The 21,302-nt window shown below is 43.9% G+C and overlaps 1 protein-coding gene across 9 annotated transcripts in view, besides 1 other annotated feature; it reads right to left on the reverse strand.

Moving 5' to 3' along the window:
• The window catches only part of UQCC1 (ubiquinol-cytochrome c reductase complex assembly factor 1), a 109,396-nt gene that overhangs the window by 11,190 nt on the left and 76,904 nt on the right, over positions 1 to 21,302 (reverse strand). For 8 of the 9 annotated variants that reach the window (NM_001184977.2, XM_011528878.3, NM_018244.5 and 5 more), the window contains one exon: positions 921 to 998. The exons of the other annotated variant lie outside the window; for it this stretch is intronic. In NM_001184977.2, coding sequence (NP_001171906.1) covers positions 921 to 998 — 78 coding nt within the window. The remainder of the gene's footprint in view (positions 1 to 920; positions 999 to 21,302) is intronic. 9 annotated transcript variants of the gene reach the window in all.
• Positions 2,659 to 2,953: a silencer, noted in NCBI's record as "tiled region #6334; HepG2 Repressive non-DNase unmatched - State 15:Elon". NCBI's record gives its function as "represses a minimal TATA promoter and a strong SV40 promoter by Sharpr-MPRA in HepG2 cells {active_cell/tissue: HepG2}" and the evidence as "EXISTENCE:reporter gene assay evidence [ECO:0000049][PMID:27701403]".

A 21,302-nucleotide genomic window follows, 5' to 3' on the forward strand; every position in this document is an offset into this window, starting at 1 on the left:
TGCCACCATGCCTGGCTAATTTTTGTATCTGTAGTAGAGACGGGGTTTCAGGCTGATCTCAAACTCCTGACCTCAGCTGATCCACCCACCTCGGCCTCCCAAGGTGCTGGGATTACAGGCGTGAGCCACTATGCCTGGCCAGGTCTTCTGATTTCTATTTCAACCACTTATGTACAGCTTTACAAACTTTTATTTTTATTTATTTATCTTTTTTTGAGACGGAGTCTCACTCTGTCACCCAGGCTAGAGTGCAGAGGCATGATCTCGGCTCACTGCAACCTCCGTCTCCCAGGTTCAAGCGATTCACCTGCCTCAGCCTCTAGAGTAGCTGGGATTACAGGCACCCACCACCATACCCGGCTAAGTTTTGCATTTTTAGTGACACGGGGTTTCACCATGTTGGCCAGGCTGGTCTCGAACTCCTGACCTCAAGTGATCTGCCCACCTCAGCCTCCCAAAGTGCTGGGAGCCACTGCGCCCAGCCAGTTTTACAAACTTTCAAAATGAATATGTATTGCTTTCATAATTAAAGCAAAAAAAAAAAAAAGTGTATACTTTGCCTGGCAGACCATGCTGTTTACGTGAATATCCTCCTCTCTCTGGGAGCACATGGGGCTAAGACAGTGTCTCATTTGCCTCTGTCCCTCCATCCAGCACCCAGCAGCCACTCAACAAATGCTGACTAGTTGAATGGTTTGACCATATTATATACTGCTTTCTTTCCCAAACATGTGGCATGTTTCCCAAACATGCTCAGCACATTCATTCTCGCTGCCCAGTTGATGAATATGAAGAAATAAATACTACGCCATGGTGGTAGCCAGTAACAATGGTCCCTGTGGCTTCCCTCAGAGGCTCTCATCAAAAGCCTTTGCTGGGGGAGGCCACCGTCCTGCCTAAGCCTTGGCAAACAATCTTACCTCATCATATCCCAAGATCGCTGCATAGAAATGATTTGTCATGAGGATCATGTTCTTCTTCAGGATATAGGGATTAACCTACAGAAACAAATGGCAAAAACAAAAGTTTGAAAGAAAGAAAGAAAAAAACCCAAAAAGTATGATCTTTGACTCTTAGCTGTCACAGACTCTTAGTAGAAGAGAGACGGCCACTAACAAGTCAAGCTGCCAGTCCATTCTCAATTCCCTGATGTGTCAGGATTCTCCCCAATTTGCCAAATTCTTTTAGGTTTTGATCTCAAATTACACAAGTCAGCTTAATGAACTGAGCCCCAACCACATGTTTAGTTTTGTGCTAGATCCTATGAACCAAGTATAAGAAACAGTTTCTTGATTGGAGGAGCACAGTCCAATGTAGGAAAATAGGCATATAAAAAATAATTATACTGCAACATGTTGCCTCAAATCCTATTCTAAACATGCTGAGTGATAAATGGGTTTTAGTTTTACCTGCTTGAGGGAGCTGGTAAGGGCTCTCTAGGAGGTAACATTTAAGTGAAACTTGGAGGAGGAGGAGTTTGACAGAGGAGAGTGAGGGGGAGGAGGGAGAGAGAGCATTCTAGACAGAGCAAGGTGTGCAAAGGTGCAGAGGCTGGAAAGAAAATGGCGCAGGGAGGGTGTCAGGGAGGGTGAATAGGCAGGATCACAAGAAAGTTATGTTGAGACTAGGTTAGGAGACATCTTAAGGGCCACTCAAAAGAGTTTGTCGTGATGAAAAAACAGAGAAGGAAGTGGTCAGAGGTGGGAAGAGGAGGGAGAGAGGCAGGACTCTGAGAGACATGCTGAGGAAAAAGGGGGGCCTCTGAGGCCATGGAAAGGAGGGAAGAACAAAGCAGGGGCAGCTCTGAAGCAAGAAGAATGTTAAAGTTAAGAGATCATTTTGGCTGGGCAGTGGTTCATGCCTGTAATCCCAGCACTTTGGGAGGCCAAGGCAGGCAGATCGCTTGAGCCCAGGAGTTTGAGACCAGCCTGGGCAACATGGCGAAACCCCATCCCTACAAAAAAATACAAAAATTAGCCTGGCATAGTGGTGCATGACTGTAGTCCCGGCTACTTGGGAGGCTGAGGTGCATCACTTGAGCCTGGGAGGCCGAGGCTGCAGTGAGCCAGGATCGCGCCACTGCACTCCAGCCTGGGCAACAGAACAAGAGCCTGTCTCAAACAAACAAAAACTCAGAGACTGTTTTAGAAATGCAATTCTGGTGAGATGGTTGAGAGCCCAGTAGAACTCCTCTCTCCTCTTGGGGAACAGCCTGGCCTGGAGGATCTTCAGGGCCCAGAGTGCAGTTCGCTGAATGCCTTCAATAGGGTACAACTCTGACCTCCAGACAGTAACACGCTGTAAGGCAGGGTCCACGTTTTATTCCTCTTCAGGATCCCAGCAGAAAGCCAGTGCAATGTATAGCACAGAGTAAGGACTCTGACTATCTGAACTGATGGTTTTGGAAATAGCCAAAAGGCATTTGGAACTTTATGTGGAGAACAAGATTTGTGCTTAACAACTCTGACGGTGACCATGCCCACAGTCATCTCATTTACGAAGCACCTGTCATGGGCTGGGAGGTAGATGTGTTACAGTCACTCAGACTGTAAGTGACTGTGTGAGAGACTCAGACTGGTGAAGTGATGCCTTGTGTCACACAGCAAATTCATGATAAAGCTGAGATCAGCATCCAGGTCAGTCTGAATCCAGAGTCCACACTCCTTACAGTCTGCCAGGGTTCTGCTTCTGGGAGGATAATTTTACTTTGGGTCACAAATCAAAGACTGAGTGATTTTATCCTGTGGCTCATAACTAGTCTCGGAAGAAATGTAGAAAGGGTGATCTGGATTTAGACTCAGAAAACCTGGGTTCAAGTGATAGTTTTGCTATGTACACAGGATGTTATCTTAAGCAAGTCAACCTGAGTCCATTTCCTTTTTCTTTTTTGAGACAGAGTCTCGCTCTGTCACCCAGGCTGGAGAGCAGTGGTGTGATCTTGGCTCACGGCAACCTCCGCCTCCCGGGTTCACAGCATTCTCCTGCCTCAGCCTCCCAAGTAGCTGGGACTACAGGTGCCCGCCACCATGCCCAGCTAATTTTTTCTATTTTTAGTACAGACGGGGTTTCACCGTGTTAGCCAGGATGGTCTCGATCTCCTGACCTCGTGATCCACCCGCCTCGGCCTCCTAAAGTGCTGGGATTACAGGCATGAGCCACCACGCCCGGCCCATTTCCTTTTTTTTTGAGACAGAGTCTCGCTCTCTTGGCCAGGCTGTAGTGCAGCGGCATGATCTCAGCTCACTGCAATCTCCGCCTCCCGGGTTCAGGCGATTCTCCTGCCTCAGCCTCCCGAGCAGCTGGGATTACAGGCACCTGCCACCACACCTGGCTAATTTTTTTGTATTTTTAGTAGAGATGGGGTTTCACCATGTTGGCCAGGCTGGTCTCGAACTCCTGACCTCAGGCGATCAGCCCGCCTCGACCTCCTAAAGTGCTGGGATTACAGGCGTGAGCCACTGCGCCCGGCCCCTTTCCTACACACAGGGCTATTTGGAAGAGCACGTGAGTTAGCATGCATTCATTCATTAATTTAATAATGTATGTATGCTGAAAGCCTTGGTAAACTGCAGAATGCTCTGCAAATGTAAGGAATTATAAGTAATAACTTCTGGTTTGTTTACATAAAACCAAAACCAGTTCCAATGCTTTACAGCCATGGATAATTTTCAAAAATGAAAGGATTGTGAAGCTCAAGGCTGGAAAATGTAGACTGGATGTAACTAGGAGTGCAAACCATGACCTATCCCACACACCTTCAACCAGGGCTACATTAGCCATCCATCCTTGGTGTTCTCACAGCTCTCTGGGCATATTTTCTGCCTGGGTACACACGTGGTTTAGAGCTGCTTATGCACCTGTCTCTCCCATTAGTCTGGGAGCTACTCAAGGGTCATAGGAACCATGTCTGATTAATCTCGGCACCCCCATCATCTGGTCCAGAGCCTAACCCAGAGCAGGGGCTAAGACAGGCTTGCTGGTAACTGAATTTTTACAAGGGCCTGTGTACTACGCCATGCATAGCATGTTCTATCCAACTAGTGTTTTAGGGGATTTTCTTCTTCTTCGCCTTTCTTTCCCCCTGTTGAATACCTTCTGTGTTTCTGGAATTTCAGAAACATATACTGCCAAACTTCTACTGTCCCATCTTCCAGAAAGGGGTAAAGGGAAGAGTCAAGAAACAGGCCAGAGCTAGAGTTCATTCCTTCTGTCATGTGAGGATGAGACTACAACTCAGACCTCCTGATACCCATACTTGGAGGATCTCCCTACTCCCACATGAGTTGTTCTCCTAATTGTGTTAGGAATAATCACAGCCACAAACGGATGATATCAGAGGTGTCAAACAGTAAGGCAGGAGCATCTCTCAGAGGAAAACATTCACTGAACCTGCCTAGCAGAGCTAGTTTATGTCATGTATCACACCATTAAGCTTTGGAGCAGGAAGGGCCCTCAGAGATTACCTAGCTCAATACCCTTGAGGAAAGGGTGAACTGAAACCCAGAAAGAAGAGACTTATTCAAGATCACACATCAAGTTAGTATAAGAGCCAGGATTAGAACCTGATTTCTGGGTAAGTGCTTTTCCTACTTTACCATCTGCAGGGCATTTCCAGAGATCATCAACACATTCATCTGCAAACCTCAGTTCTTGCTTTCCAGCAAGGCCCACAAACATACAAACACATTTTCTCCTCTTGGGATACACCTGCATTCTGGTTGGCTACTGCCCAGGAAAAACGGAGTGCAAGAGTAGAGTTCCTTACTAGCAAGGCTCCTTGACTTCCTGGTCCTATATTCTAACTCCAGTGACCTGTAAGCTGCCTCTCCCTTCACCTCTAGCTGAGACAATGGCAAACTGCCACAGCTAGAAATGCTTTTCAGATATCATCACCCAGGCTGGATTAGATCATGAAAAGGGGCCTTCCTGGAAGAGGGTGGAAGTGAGATCAGTACAGACACGTGATCTGCAGGCAACAGGTGAGGGCAAGTGACAGCACCTTCCTCAACTACCGGACTCACTCGGCAGGGCCCTTCTAGCTAGTCCAGCAGCCAAGGGGAGCAGGATATTCGCTCTGGTGAATCCCTGTTGGATTTTATTCCCTCATTTAAGTTTTTGGTTGCTGGTGTGCAGGTTCCCCACCTCTCCACTGCCAGATCATTCTATATGGAGCACTCTGCCCATGACTACACAGCTGCACCCAGCAGAAGAGAAACTCCTCCCAGATAGTGTTGGGCCGTTCTCTTATTAAACTCATCCTTTCCATAATGCTTTGCTTTTCATAAAAACCCATACATACAACACCACAAGGAAAAGGTTCCTTTTATATCAGTTACTCATATTTTCCCATTTATTTAAGCCATTAAAATTCATGCAGATATTTTATAAGCCACCAGGATTCAGTGACTGGTATTACTGAATGTTTAATAATAAACTAAACAGAAGAAATCAGAGGGTTAAATGATGACTGCAATTCCTGTAATGACTTAATTAAATTTTTATTGAGTACATAAACTATGATGTCACCTCTAGCCAACCACAGGCCTGCTTTCCCAGCATGTCACAGGGAGGGAGCACTCAATAGGAGGCTTGGCTAAATGAGCAGCAGGTCTCAGCTGAAATGGGGAGGGGAGTGAGGCTCATGTAACACACTCAATAAATTATCCGTTCATTTTTAAACAAAGTCCATGAGTTATAATATATTTGCCATGCACTTTTTATGACATAATAAAAATGTTACCTTAAGGATTACTTAACACATACTACAAATATTATAGCAGAGGCAGGCACAAGGGGCAAAGAAAACAAACACGAGCAGGCCAGGGACGGGTCCTGGAGTTTATGTCCCAGGGGAAACAGCATAGTATATTAAAAAGGGAATGCAAAAAAAAGGAAGGGATGCAAGAGTTCAGGGTTACTAATCGGCAGATTAATGAATGAGACAACCAACAGAGAACACAAGTAAGGCAATAATGAATCTTGCAGGGCACATGTTTAATTAAAGTAGCATTCTCAAGGAGGAATATTAGCTTTAAAGAGATGCCAGTTCATTTGAGGCCAATTCGCTGCTCTCTTTCCCCTTTTCACTGTTGCTGCCTTAAAGATATTTATGTGACTGCTTAACAGAGGAACCAGACTATGTGGATACAGGGACTGATGGGAGATCAAGTTTTAACTCCTCCATGGACTCTACAAGGCTTCTAGTGATCTGCTCTTGGCCATCTTTTTTGCCTCCCCTCCTCTTGCCTCCCCATCTTACTTCACCCTGCAGTCAGTAAAGTATGTGCACAGATACATCATGCTGTCATCTATTTCTTAGTCATACTGCTGCCAGGAATTCTTCTCTTCTTTATCCACTGATGGAAGGGATGCTAACTCCTTATCCTCTAAGACTTAGCACACATATTTTCTCTACTAAGTCTGCCCTCTCCCCCATCTACAGGTGCCCCAAAGTGATTCAAGTCTGGAGACGGGTCCCATCATTCATTATTTACCAAGTGCCAATAACTGTGCTACAACTTTACACATTAGCCCACTTAAACCTTCCCAAGGACTCTAAGAGACAGGAACTGTTACTGTCTCCACTTTAGAGAAGAGGAATCTGATGTTTGGGAAAGTTAAAGCTAGACAGCTAGGAAATAGTGGGGTCAAGATAAGAATACAGAGCAATCCAACTCCATTGCCTACCTGTGTTGGAATAGACACTGGAAGGAATGTAGCTGCCCCTTCCTGTGCCCCACAGCTCAGGCTATCTGCAGAGGCAGAACTAAGAAATGCTAATGTGGTCTTGAGTAAACACAACTCAGAGATTCCAGTTCCAGTGGCAGCTAGAGACAGCCACCAGATGGGTCATCAGTGGCCGGTTACTAATACATCAGATATCCCTAGTAGAGCCAAGCTCCACTCCTGGGAAAACCTGAGGTTGAGAGTGGGTGTAATTATGGTGGGGGAATGGGAAAACAGAAGAAAGTTGGTATGGAAAACACTGATGAGCATGAAGGTGAGAATAAGCTTTAAGGTTACTGGCTTGAAGCAAAGTTGCTAACAGTAGCAGACTAAGAATTTGCTGGAATGAATGAATGACAAAGGACAGCTAGAGTTGCTGGCTGAAGCCTAAGGACTATATCAAATTCATCATAAGGCAACAATGCAACACAAGATTGTAGGTCATGTTTTAGTTTGCTGTAGTAGACAGTAATGCCACCACCAATGCTTTGCAGTGCCAACGCCATGTTCTACAGTCATTGTGCGGCAACAGGCTGATGTGCACTGAACATCAGCTAGCCTATTTAAAGTTCAGGTTAGAAATTAGCCCACTGTGGAATATTTTGTGAGATACTTAGAAACAGAGTAAGAGTAGACAGACAAGAGAGACGGGGGACATGGAGAGACCAAATAAAAAAGTCTACCTGTTAACTCACATGCATTACGACTGAAAGATCTATTGAGGGTCTTTTAGCAATGATGACAAAATACAAACAAAACTGTGTGTGTGTGTGTGTGTGTGTGTGTGTGTGCGCGCGCGCGCGCGCACGCTCAGGCACGCATGCATATTGAGCAGTTCCAGAAAAAGTTGTTAATACCAAGAATAAAAAGAAAAATATTTTAAATGAAAGACAATTTCTTTTTCTCTTTTTAGAAAATAATGTGAACATTTAAATAGAGTATGTTCCCGTTGCGATGAAAGGCCAACCTAAACCCAGCATGAGGAGGTCCATTTTAAAATCCATTTTAAACATTTCAAACTTTTAATGTACAAGGGAAGCTTGCTATGATGACATGCTGTTTAAAAATATTCCCTTATTGGCTGGGCAAGGTGGCTTACGTGTATAATCCCCATGCTTTGTGAGGCCAAGGCAGGTGGATCACTTGAGGCCAGGAGTTCAAGACTAGCCTGGACAAAAAAGTGAGGTCCTGTCTCTACAACATAGTAATAATAATACAAACCCCTTTCTTATTTATTTTGAAAATTCTAGTTTTGCTGCTTGGGATCTACATGTTCAAGACTGCATAGCCTGATAATGTGCTGAAAAACAAGGGACATGGTTGGCAGACAGAATTGCAGAACCAGCAGCCCTAATTTCTATATAGTCACGAAGTACAGGAGTCCTTCCCTCAGGCTTGGAAAATAGCCAAGAGAGAAGAGATGTATGTCCTCAGAAATTCTAGTCATTTGTCCAGTTGAGAAAACATGAGAACACATAATATTAAGTCCACAATCATCTTCAAAAGGAGCTGATGAGGTACACTACGGTTCTGGGATGATCAAACTACCATGGCAATTTAACTTTCGTCTCTTTTAGGGCATTTGAATAAGGGGAACATTATAGCTATAATCTACTTTGGTTTCTGGAAGCTTTTTGTAGTATTCCACATGACAAGTCTCATGCATACTCATTAGAGAAGCCAACACCTGGCTTGAAAGAGTCGCAGTTTCAACAACAGCACTGATGGTGCGGAGTCCTAAAGGAAATAATCCTGGGTACTATCTAAAATCCGTACTGATAATAATGATGACAGTGATGGTCGTAACAATGATTACACAATGCATTTAATAATATTTTCATTTTATTATCTTATTTGTGCCTCACAACCACAACCCTGCCCTCGAGGAGCTCACAGCCAAAATGCTATTGTTGTCCTGATTCTATAAACAAGGAAACAGAAGCTCAAAACTGTTAAGTGGCCAGGTGCGGTGGCTCACGCCTGTAATCTCAGCACTCTGGGAGGCTGAGGTGGGCCGATAACCTGAGGTCGGGAGTTCGAGACCAGCCTGGCCAACATAGTGAAACCCCATGTCTACTAAAATACAAAAAATTAGCTGGGCATAGTGGCGCATACCTGTAGTCCCAGCTACTCAGGAGGCTGAGGCGGGGGAACCATTGAACCCGAGAGGCAGAAGTTGCAGTGAGCCAAGATTGTGCCACTGCACTCCAGCCTGGCAACTGAGCAAGACTCTGTCTCAAAAAACAAAAACAAAAACAAAAACAAAAACGTTAAGTCACTTGTAGTCAAATCACATCCTGCTTGTAAGTGACAGTGCTGGGACTTTTAACTCAGATGGTCAGTCTCTAAATCTACTGTCTTTTCTTTTTTTTGAGACGGAGTCTTGCTCTGTCACCCAGGCTGGAGTGCAGTGGGACCATCTCGGCTCACTGCAAGCTCCGCCTCCCGGGTTCACGCCATTCTCCTGCCTCAGCCTCCTGAGTAGCTGGGACTACAGGCGCCTACCACCATGCCCGGCTAATTTTTTGTATTTTTAGTAGAGACGGGGTTTCACCGTGTTAGCCAGCATGGTCTTGACCTCCTGACCTTGTGATCCGCCTGCCTCAGCCTCCCAAAGTGCTGGGATTGCAGGCGTGAGCCACCGCGCCCGGCCCCAATCTACTGTCTTTTCTAAGCGATCACACCTTTCTGCTTCTGATGAGTCATATGAGAAATGGAAGAATCACACAAGCACAAAGCTAAAATTGCTCATTTCTGCACTTTGGAAAGCAAGAGTAAAATAGACTCTTTTTAAATTTAGAAAAACTGTCCTTAAAAAGAAGATGAGATTCGACAAGGTCAAATGCACAGTATTATGTCTATATCAAAATAAAAAAATAACAGGATGAAGCAAGGGTCTGACCAAGTAGATGTAATAGCATCCCAGAGCAAATCTTTCTCATGAACAGATAAATCAGAAATATGAAAAGGTAATTATTATTATCTATATTAAAGGAAAAGCCATATGCAAAGGTCAAAAAGTTTTCTCCCCTCATTTATTTTAATAGTCAAAAGTCTTTGTCTTACCAACCGTACTTAAGAATGAACATGGAGAAACCAGAGAGGTTTCAAGAAAGAATGTCAGATATATATGGTTACAATGGGTTGGCACTGGTCACAGGCCAGGGCGTTCAAGATTCTATGGCCAAGAGAAACACCCAGAGGCTATTCCATGGATTGGTCAGGTTGCCTCCATCATCTGCCTCAATGGGTCAGTAGATCTTAGAAGTACTGTGACACTGAGGTTTCTCTCTCTGCATTTCTTCCTTATGTTCAGGACCTACTCTTTCCCATTTCCACGAGTTGGCAGGCTGTTGATCCTAGAATGCTGTCCTCTCATCACAGAGATGGGCACATAGCTGAAGCTTAGCTAATCTGACTCTTGCTTCTGAGAGTACAAACAACCAAATATAAAAGGAAGCTACAGTTGGATCACCCTTGGCAGGGCACAGTGGCTCATGCCTGTAATCCTAGCACTTTGGAAGGCCATGGCAGGAGAACTGCTTGAGGCCAAGAATTAAAGACCAACCTGGCCAACACAGCAAGACCTCATTTCTAAAAAATAAATAAATAAAATAGTAAAGTTGGGTCACCCCAAAGAGACTATACATAAGTTCCTATTGCTAAGATCCCTTAGCTGCCCTGTATCTTTCCTTCCTGAGCTCTGTTGTTAAACTCTCCATTCCATGAGCCTTAGTTACCTTCCAATAAATCCTTTGTTTGCTTAAATTAGCTAAAGTCAGCCTCCCAAGTAGCTGGGATTACAGGCACGCACCACCACACCCAGCTAATTTTTTTTTCTTTTTCTTTTTGAGACGCAGTCTTGCACTCTTGCCCAGGCTGGAGTGCCGTGGCGCCATCTCTGCTCACTGCAAGCTCTGCCTCCCAGGTTCACGCCATTCTCCTGCCTCAGCCTCCAGAGTAGCTGGGACTACAGGTGCCCACCACCACGCCCAGCTAATTTGTTGTATTTTTAGTAGAGACGGGGTTTCACCGTGTTAGCCAGGATGGTCTCGATCTCCTGACCTTGTGATCTGCCCGCCTTGGCCTCCCAAAGTGCTGGGATTACAGGCGTGAGCCACCGCACCTGGCCGAGCAAGATAATTCCATTTACACCCACTAGGATGGCTATAATTTAAAAAGAAAAGAAAAATAAGTATTGGCAAGGATGTAGAAAAACTGAAACCCTCATGCATTGTTGAAGAAAATGTAAAATGGTACAGCCACTGTGGAAAACAGTTTGGCGGTTTCTCAAAAGGCTGAACATAGAACTACCATATAGCCCAGCAATCCCATTCCTAACTATATGTCCAAAAGAATTGAAAGCGGGAATTGGAACTGATATATTTGTACACCAATTTTCATAGTAGTATCATTTATGATAGCCAAAAGGTGGAAACAACCCAAGTGTCCAATGACAGGGATAAACAAAATGTGGTACACACATACCAAGGGATATTATTCAGCCATAAAAAGGCATAAAATTTTGATATATGCTATAACATGGATGGACCTTAAAAATGCACTCATAAATGCATTATGCTTAATGAAATAAGTCAGACATGGAAGGACAAATATTGTATAATTTGATTTATATGAGGTACTTAGGTACCTTCAGAGACAGAAAGAAGAATAGTCTACCTGGGGCTGATGGGAGGAAGAAAGGGAAAATTATTATTTAATGGGCACAGAGTTTTTGTTGGGGATAATGAAAATGTTTTGGGTATAGATAATGAAAATTGTTACACAACACTGTGAATGTACTTAATGCCACTGAATTGAGCATTTATGAATGGTTAAAATGATAAATATTATGTATGTATATTTTACCACAATAAAGGAAATCCCAGTTACAAACAGTTCTTCTCAGACAGGCATTTCAATCTGTGACTTAACCATGTGTGTATTAAAGCCTCTCTTAGGACACTTATCCATTTGGCACAGTGGTATCATGAGCTAACTGATGTTCCTCACCAGACTATAAACGGTCTTGGTACAGAATTCTACGTTGCATTGTACATGTTTGATAAGCACGTATTGAGTAACTGCTGTATTCTACTGTGGTATATGCTGGAGGTAAAAAAATCAATAAAACACAGTACTTGTCCTCAAGAAGTTTACAATCTCACGTGGGAGACACACCTAGCACGTTGTATGTACAAAACGGTAATGGTATAGGGACTGAAAGGCTTGAGAGAAGAGGCAACATTTATTACAGTGGGTATTAAAGGGTCAACAGGTATGTTCAGACAGAAAGAATGGTATGTGTAAAGGCACAGGGAGGTGAACAAGTACAGCATTTTCAAAGGGAAGTTTGTAAAAAAAAAAACAAAAAAACACACACAAAAAAAACAAAAAAACACAGAAGCTGCTCATGGTGGCAAGAATCAGAAGGTGGAGCTGGAAGGGCAGTTTGTGTGAGATTGTAAATGGCCCTGAACGCCAGCCACATGAAAGAAAGAACAAGGAAGGGGTTTAAGCACAGGGAAATTGCATGGACAGATTTATTTTCAAAAAGTAACCCTAGAAGTACAGATCACAAAGTTGGGGGAAGGTCCAGAGGCAGGAAAACCAGAGGAGGCTGCTACAATGGTGTAGATGAGAGTCTGTAAGGAACTGAAACAATGTGAAGTGACAACACGAACAAAGAGGAAGGCATGCTTTCAAGAGAAATGACTACAGCCAGAGCAACGGGATTTGATTATCGAGTAGATGAGGAGGAGGAAAGGGGAGGCCATGACTTGCATGTAATCAGACCTCACTGAAGAAAGTGGAGAGAACAGAAAGATGAAAACGGAATGCAAGTTATATGCAATCATACACTGATGACTTTCTGACCCTGGCAGTGCCAAGCGCAGACAACCAGTCTTGTATGATTTTAGCAATCACCATGCCCTTCATGTCTCCTATGTTGTGGTAATGGAAAATCTTACTTGGATAAGATGTAATATGAGCAAGATGTGTATTTAGTTTGAGCCCGGCAGGCGTCTCCAGTGGAGCACAGGCATAACACACCAGGGCCTAGGAGCCTGAGCCCCTTTTCCAGTAATTTGTTCACTACATGTAGGTCGGTATCATTACTCCGGGCCCTCTGCATTCTGACTGCAGCCATGAGGTCTGATTACCGTCAGCAAGAAGACGCTGACACACTCAGGTTTCCAGAGACACTTGGAGGCTGCTAATTGCACCCTGAGCCTCATGACTGCATTTATGAGCGCAGAAAAGCTGCAGGCACTACTTGGCTTTTTTAATTATTTTCTATTAAATTTAGGCAGACTGGGTACAGTGGAAAACTACAGGATGCTTGTTCCACATCACTACCAACCATGTCAACTGCACAGACACAAAAGGCAAACAGGTGAATATAGATCAACAAGTTGGTCAGTTCTTTGCTAATAGAGCTGAGCCACTGTCACTTGTCATGGATGCTGAGGCCCTGAACAACCTAGAGGATCTAAAGGCAACACTGAGATCACTGACCCGAGTCCTTTCCCAGCGATCCTAAAATAGATATCATATTGCCCAGATGGCAACATTTTCTCAGAGGACCCAAAATTTAGCCCCTTACTGATCTTGAGGTTCCTGACCCTTCATCCAACAGCCCTGCCTTCTTCTTCTCCACAGCAATGAAGAGTGAAAGGGGCGGGGTCACCCTAATGAACTGAATCACAGGAGTTAACTGCTAACTCCACCTGGGCACAATGGGTCAGACCAAAGTCTAAAGCTCAAAACAGTAAAGCAGACATTTACATTGTTTCACACAGGTCACAGAATGTTTGTCTTTCACTGCTGTGTCCTAACTGCTCACTGTTCAGAGCTGTACAATTGCCAAAATACTGACCCAATGGTTATCTGAGAAAGAGGCTGTTCCCTGCTGAAGACATGAGGAAGCAAAGGCTCAGAAAGGTCAAGTGACTCACCCAATTATCACTTGGCTAATAAATGGTCAAGAGGTTCACAGAGACAAGGTCTTCTGGCTCCTAGTCCAAGTTTTTTTGTTTGTTTTAAGGCTCAAACAGAATTGCCACTCAGTGGATAGTTTGTACATTCCTGTAGAAGCATCCTGGGAATGGCTGAGCCTGGATCCCAGGTAGAAGCCATATGATCATTCTTACTTAAGTAGTGAGGTGGTCAAGGTTGAGGCCAAGAGTGAGGTTCAGATATCCCTTAAAATGGAATTGACAGAGCCGGGTGCAGTGGCTCATGCCTCTGTAATCCCACCACTTTGGGAGGTTAAGGCAGGCAGATCACCTGAGGTCAGGAGTTTGAGACCAGCCTGGCCAACATGGTGAAACCCCTTCTTTACTAAAAATACAAAAATTAGCTGGGCATGGTGGTGGGTGCCTGTAGTCCCAGCTACTAGGGAGGCTGAGGCAGGAGAATTGCTTGAACCAGGAGGCAAAGATTGCAGTGAGGTGAGATTACGCCACTGCAATCCAGCCGGGGCAACAGAACAAGACTTTGTCTCACAAAAAAAGGAAAAAAAAAAAAAAAAGCATGGAACTGACACAGCCTGTGAGTTCTGAGAGTGACTCCATCTTTATAGGGTAATTCTCTTTTGTCCTCTTTTCTCAGTAAAATGTTCTTAGAAAGGTATTTTATCCAAAGGAAAGAGACAAACTCAGTTAGAATGCTGTATGTTAAAGAGATGATCTCTTTGGTGTTCTGTATTTAAGTCCCAACTCAGACCTAGGAAACGCACTGAAATCTAAGTAAATTTTGGGCCCCAACAGCCCTGTTTCCCCACCTGGTGAGTCTGAAAGATTAATCACTCTGAGCCTCAGTTTTTCCATCACAACTATGCAAAACCACCTTTCCTTTTTCCTTTTCATATTAACAGATGAAAATGCCTAACAGTAAGTAAATTAGTAGTGGCAAACATCTATTTCACTCTCAGGCATTGTTTAAAGAACCTCACATGTGATAACTCATTTATCCCTCACAATGCTACAAGCGATGTAAGGTGGGTATTACAGTTATGTCTATTTTACGGAGAGAAAACTGAGGCATAGAAAGGAAACAGGCATAGAGACCTTGCCCAAGGTCACATGGCTAGGGCAGGATTTGAGTCCAAACTGGCTTCAGTATGTGAGCACTCTCAACTACTCTGTGATACTGCATTGGAAAGGAGGTTATAAACTCAACCCAATCCCCCACTTGGAGATGAGAGCCTGGAAGTCTCTGAAGCTTCTCTCAGGACCTTGGGGCTCACCTACTCTCCTGCCTCATCCTCCCATTACACTCAGCCCTGCCCTGGGATAACTCCTGGAAGAAGCCTGCAGTGAACACAAAACAAAAAAGCAAGTGAACTCATATCTTTCTCGTTCGTCTGTTTCGTGTGGAAGTGAATCCAGGAAAGATTCAACTTCCTTTCTCAGCATAAACTAGATTGTAAGCCCTGTAAGATCACTTATCTCTGGTATATTATCTACCAACCACATTCAGGGATTAGCATGTGGCGAGAGACAAAAATGTTCCTTGAATAAATGAATGAAACAATTCTTAATAAAACCATACAAATTAATAATGCTACTGGATCTAGAGGAAATACATTCAATATTGCCTTCATCAAATGTATTCAGCACTACCCAGGCATCAAGCACTGTTTTAGGAGCTGAGGCTACAGCAGTAAACAAGAGACAATTCCCGAACTCCGGGAGTTTAGGATGATTAGTCAGGCTGCTGAATGATTTGCAGAATGAATCTGAGATGAAGAGAGTCAAGAGGCAGGAGGACCAGTGAAGAAGCAGCCGACAGTGAGTTTAGGTGAGAGGTCAGGACTGGATCTGAGCATCAGTAGGACAGTTGAGGCCCTGATAGTGGTTGTTTTAAAGAAGGGCTCCTTATAGTTCCTCCTGCTCCTTTGAGAACCAGGCACGTCACATTGATGGCAAGGATCACTGACATTCAGAAAGACCAGCTAAAGAGAGGACAATGAACATGGAAAAACAAGTCCCTCCACTCTAGCTGGGCCCCTTCAGCTCCAACCAACCCCACAGGGCCATTCACTCAGCATTTTGGGGGAAACAAAGTGAGAAAAGAGTGTTACAGCTGCCTCATCAATGGATCCAGAAATACTCATGGCACACCCAGGGCAGCTGAAAGAAACATCTGTCTCTACTGTATCCTAGGTCTGACCTCAGAGCCTCCAGAACTTTTTTACATAGCCCCACCCAGATCCTGGCGGAGCTACTGCCCTCTGGTGGTACCCAATGCAGGGGTTAAGCCCACAGGAGAAAAGAGTCTTGTGGTAGGACATGGAGTGAGAGGCATAGTCAACCCCAAGAGCTCGTCACAGTGCCTGTATGTCTTACTACTGCAACCACTGCTTTTTCCAAAGACGCTATTTACAGAAAACTCTGGTTAAAATGCAAGAGTTATCTGGGACCATTAAAACAGATCCTGTTGGCAACCCTTAACGATTTGGCATGAATTTAATCAGGTAAACTGCAGTGTAAGTATAGAATTGATTCTAAGAAGATAGGGTTAGGAATAGACTCTGTGAGTTCACTCACTCATTCACCATTCAACCAATATTGGATGGAGGCTTACCATGTGCTAAGCACTGTGCTAGACACTGGAATGCTGACCTTAAGAGAAAAGGATCAGGAGGTCTTTGATTGGAGGCTTTTCCCAGCAACACAAAATGCAGGGTGTGTGTAGTGGCTCTAGAGAACAGCAAAGATGATAGTATCAAGTAACGAAAAGAGCAACAGAATCAATCAAGAGAAGTGAGTTTTAGTCTCTGCTACTACCGCTACTATATGACACTGACCAAGCCTTTTTCCTGACCAGGACTGAGTGTCCTCACTTGGAAAGGGTTGAATTAGGATCATCTTTGTGGCTGTCAAGCTTCTAGGAGCTTGGCGGCCACTGAAATGATTAGGAGATGGCATAAAATAAAAACACTGACTGCTTGGCAATTCTGACCAGCTAGGGCTAGCCCTGGGTGGGGCTTCCTGCCATCAGCCAGGGCAATCTAAAATTCCTTTACATAGTTCCTGAGGATCATCACCAAGTGAGATTCTTCTGACATCCATACCCAACCACTTCATCAGACGAGATACCCCTAGTACGTTATGAACCCCACATTTGTCCCCAACTACCCTAGTCTCTTCTGGTCCCTTTGAACTGAGGCTATTAGGGACGGAGCCAGTTCTTCCAGTGCTACAGGGCAAGAGAGGCTTGGAGAAAAGTAGAAAGTTTTGCAAACTGTGTTCACTCTTGGAAATTCTACCCTGGGCTGGAAAATTTTTATCTCATGGATTTTTTTTCAAGCAGGAAAGGCCCTTAGAAATAACCTGGTCCAGGCTCTGCATTGGAGCCTGCTGGTTAATTGTGGAACTAAGTCTAACTCCACTCTTGTAGCTCCAAGATTGGTGAGTGTTTTTCAGTTCTCCCACTGTCCTTCTAGAGGGAGGCTCTTCTCTGGCAGCCAACTCACCTTGGGACCTAAAGCACAGGAGACGATAAACACCTTCTGTCTTTGAAGGAGAAGGAGTATAGCCACAAACACCTATCGAAAATGCCAAAGACAACAAGGTTCATTTGAAATCTGAAGAATCTTAGCAAAACGGTATGGGACAGGGATGAAAAGAAGAGCAGGAGACAGAAGCCTGCTCAGCGCTTAACAGGAATCATCTCCTACTTGCCCCATAACCATACACATACCACAAGCCAGCTGATTCCTAACCCCAGCAGCTAAACTGCCCAAGGCCTAGGAAAGGGGGCAACACACACAGTTTACACCTTTTATTATTCTGATCAAAATTTCTCTCCTGGGAGCAGAAAGGGGTCAAAAGTCCAACACCAAAAATATATATCTTTATAAGTCATGGGCAAAGAAGTATTACAGCAGACAGTTATTTAAAAAAAAAAAAAAAAGCTACGGTGAACAGAGCAGAGTAGGAGGTGTGAGAAAACTCACTCCAAGTAATTTATTCACTGGGAACCACAAAGGGCTTTCCCAAGAACAGCAAAAACACCATTAATTTCTCCAGTACCCTCCTTTCAAAGGGCTCCAAACACTTCACACATATCGTTTTAAATTGTCCTCAAAGGCTCCAAAATAAGGGGTTACTATTTCCCCAGGCACAGATGGAGAAACTAAAGCATTTATGCCCACCCTGCTCTGCCCAAGTCATCCTAAAAGATTCAGCCAACATCAACTGAGTGCCTGCTATGTGCCTTACTCATGCCAGGCAGAACAGGAGACGGATGAAAGATAGGATCTTTGTCCTCCAGAAAGCCAGAATCCAGTGTGGTGTCACAGATGCACCTATAAATCCCTTCAAGATATGACAGCTTATGCTAGGTGCTATTGAAAATGTCCAAATACAGCATCCTGATAGCTCCCATTTATCAAGTACTTAATATGTGCCAAACACTGTGCTAAGCCATATTGTTTAAGTCACATAACTGTGCGTGACTTACCTTATAGAGGATGGAATGGAGACAATGAGAGGTAAAGAGACTTGCCTAGGATCTCAAAGCAACATTGTGGCAGAGCAGAGATTAGAACCTATGTCTGTCTGGCTCCAAAGACCACATGACAGGAAAAGAACTGTTTGGAAAACTGGGCACCGGCCTCTCAACTTTCTAGCACTGAATGCCACACTTTAGAGGCGAACAGCAGAACACACAGGGGCCCTCACTAGATTTTGGGGGAATGGCCTGTTTCCTGGGCCCAGAATTGTATGTGCATGTACTAACTGGGATTCTCCATCATGGGGACATCTGAAGCCAAAGGTAGGTGTGTCTTCCAAAAGGGAACAGAGCTCTCTCTGGGTAAAGGAGAGCTGAAAGGTCCTGAGCTCTTCTTGCTCCTTTGGTAAGTACTGAAAATGGAACAGGACTAGAAGGTATGGGATTCCCATGCTGGCTTTAACAGAAGGTTCACAGCCTGCAGGAAGGCATGGTGGCTGCAGTGCACATGCAGTACGGTATCCTTTTCTCAGAGCCAGAGTAGAACTCTTGCTGGGGAAGGAGTCCTCTGCTGGAGAAGGGCCTGGCTTAGTGACAGCTCTGCAGAGCTCACCTGGTGGCAGCAAGTGCTGCCTCTTTTGCCAAAGCCCCATTTTGGAGGCCAAGGAAGAAAATGCCAGACTTGGAGAAAGAAGAGCTCCCCACACCAGACAGGTTACAAAGAAAATGGTCAGTCCTGGGGAATGCCTAGGTCTTAGCAAGGGCTGGGCTAATAAATCGCTCTATTTTAAGCCCACAGGACATAAGACAGATGCGAGAAAGAGAATGTCCTCCAAACTCTGAGAGCAAAGTTGAGCCTGGAAATAGGAAACCTAATCCCCAGCCTAGCATTCTTCCCACTTACCTCAAGGCATCCTTCTGTAATCGTTTCATATCTTAATTTCAACCTAATAAAACAACAACAAGAACAAAAACCCTTTGATGGAGCCAGGTACTTCTGTGTATTATTATCTCATTTAACATAAGTGACTTGTGCTTCTATCAATGGATCAGTTAGTCCATTAGTTCACTCATAATTACTTATATTCTACCTATTTCCAAAAAAAAAAGGTTCAAATTGGATTACAACAAAAGGCACATGTTATGGCCAAAAGAGCCAATTTTTTTTTTTGAGCAAAGATTTTGAAATCCGTCAGCTCTGGGCTTGTGACTTACTATGGCGGCCACAGCCAAGTCCTTTAAGTTTTCTGCTCCTTGGTTCTCCTCAGTTGTAATATGGGGACACTCCCAACTCTATCACAAGGTAATTTGTAAGGATTAAATGAGATGATGTCTGTAAAATTCCTGGCACAGAGTTTGGCCCATAGTATGCACCGCAACCAAAATAAAAGTAAAAGAAAAGACTTAAGTAATAAAGTCTGTGGGGGGCGGGAGAAGAAAGGGGATAATGAATACTTACATCAAAATATCTAAATAAGGGAAGCGCTGTACTTTTTGGCAGTTGTGGCAAAAGGAAAGCGGGACTGCTATACCATTCTCATTGTTTAATAAAGAGAAGCATGGAAATTCATCAGGACAAAGAAAGTTCTTAATTCTCAATGCAGAAGGGCACATAAATACACGAGTGACTGTGTATGTTACACACATACACATGCTTATACCATCTCTCTCTCCAACAGGAACAGGGCAAACGGCTCTCCAGAGTCCTGCTGCCCCCTGACACCAAACTACTGCGGTGTACAGAGAAGTACTTCAAGAGTTAAAACATTTTTGTGCCAATATTTTAAGAGTGCAGAAGGTTCCAAATTACATGTAAAATAAACAATGCCAGACTGTGAAAACTCTTGGCTGCAACGTTCTCTGATGTTAACAAGAGTTTCTTTATTACTGTAACCTTTCAGAAGTGAATAAAAATTATTTCTCTGCCCTAGTTTTGCCCTCCAGTAAAAGTGAAGAGAGCAGTGACCATGGAAAGAGCTGTACAATGACCTCTCCTGAAGGCCGGGGGCTGGGAAGGGGGCAGTTTAGAACACAAAGCCTTCCATATATGCTTCTAGGTTAAAGGCTAGAAATTTAGTTTGTGCTGTGCTGATCATATTGTAAAATTTTACATTCCTAATACTTTTATGTAACCAAAACCCTTAGAGCGACAAGAAGGCATTTTCAAGAGCCCAACCTGAGCTGGTGCTATGGAGAAAACCCAAATCTGGACCATGACCCCTCAACTACTCAGTGAACCCCCTTACTCAGAAACCGAGTCTGAAGTGTCCTTAACAAAGAAGGAAGAAGTACTGTGTGTGACCAGTACTTAAGACAAAACATGTTACTACTCAGATCCTTAAGTGTGGATGAGTCTGTAAATATCAGACACACACAAGGATCTCAAAATGGAGCTAGTCTGGATAAAGAGAATCTGCATTTACCATTGCAGGAGAAGTAAGAATGTCACCAAACAAAGCCAAACATTGTTTGTCTTCTCATACCAACTCGGTGCCTTTATCCACACTGTTCCTCTGCCTGGCATTCTCTTCTTGTCTAGCAAACACCTACTTATCTGAAAAGATTTAACTCAAATGTCATCTATTCCCAGCCTGTCTCGAGACTCTGGGCATTCTCAGCAATTTAAAAACATTATAATTTCTTAATATTGTAATTATCTGTTTATGTTTATCTTCTCCTACTAGACTAGGGAGTCATGGAAAATGTCTTAATCATCCTTGTATCTCCAGTGCTTTTAGCACAGTACCTGGAAGCTAACAGGCCACAATAAAATGGATGGATAGATGGGTAAAACTTTGTTTGTGTCTGGGAACAGAAATCAGACAGAGAGTGATGAACTGCTAAAAAAACAGAACACAAGCTCTGGGACTTAACACAAGGCTAGCTTTTCAGACTTCCACAGAGTTGCAGAATGTTAAGTCTGGAAGAGAATGTAGAAATCATCTAACTCTCCTCCCCAGAGAGGTGATGTGATTTGACTTACTCAGGCTTACCCGAAGAGTGGCCAGGCCAGGCAGAACTCGTTCCATTATGCCACACTGTCCCTTCTTACTACTGTCTAAAATTGTCGGTAAAATAAGTAATGATTAAGGTCACATATCTAATTTCATTAT

The sequence above is a fragment of the Homo sapiens genome, chromosome 20 (assembly GCF_000001405.40).
Source record: "Homo sapiens chromosome 20, GRCh38.p14 Primary Assembly".
NCBI lineage: Eukaryota > Metazoa > Chordata > Mammalia > Primates > Hominidae > Homo > Homo sapiens.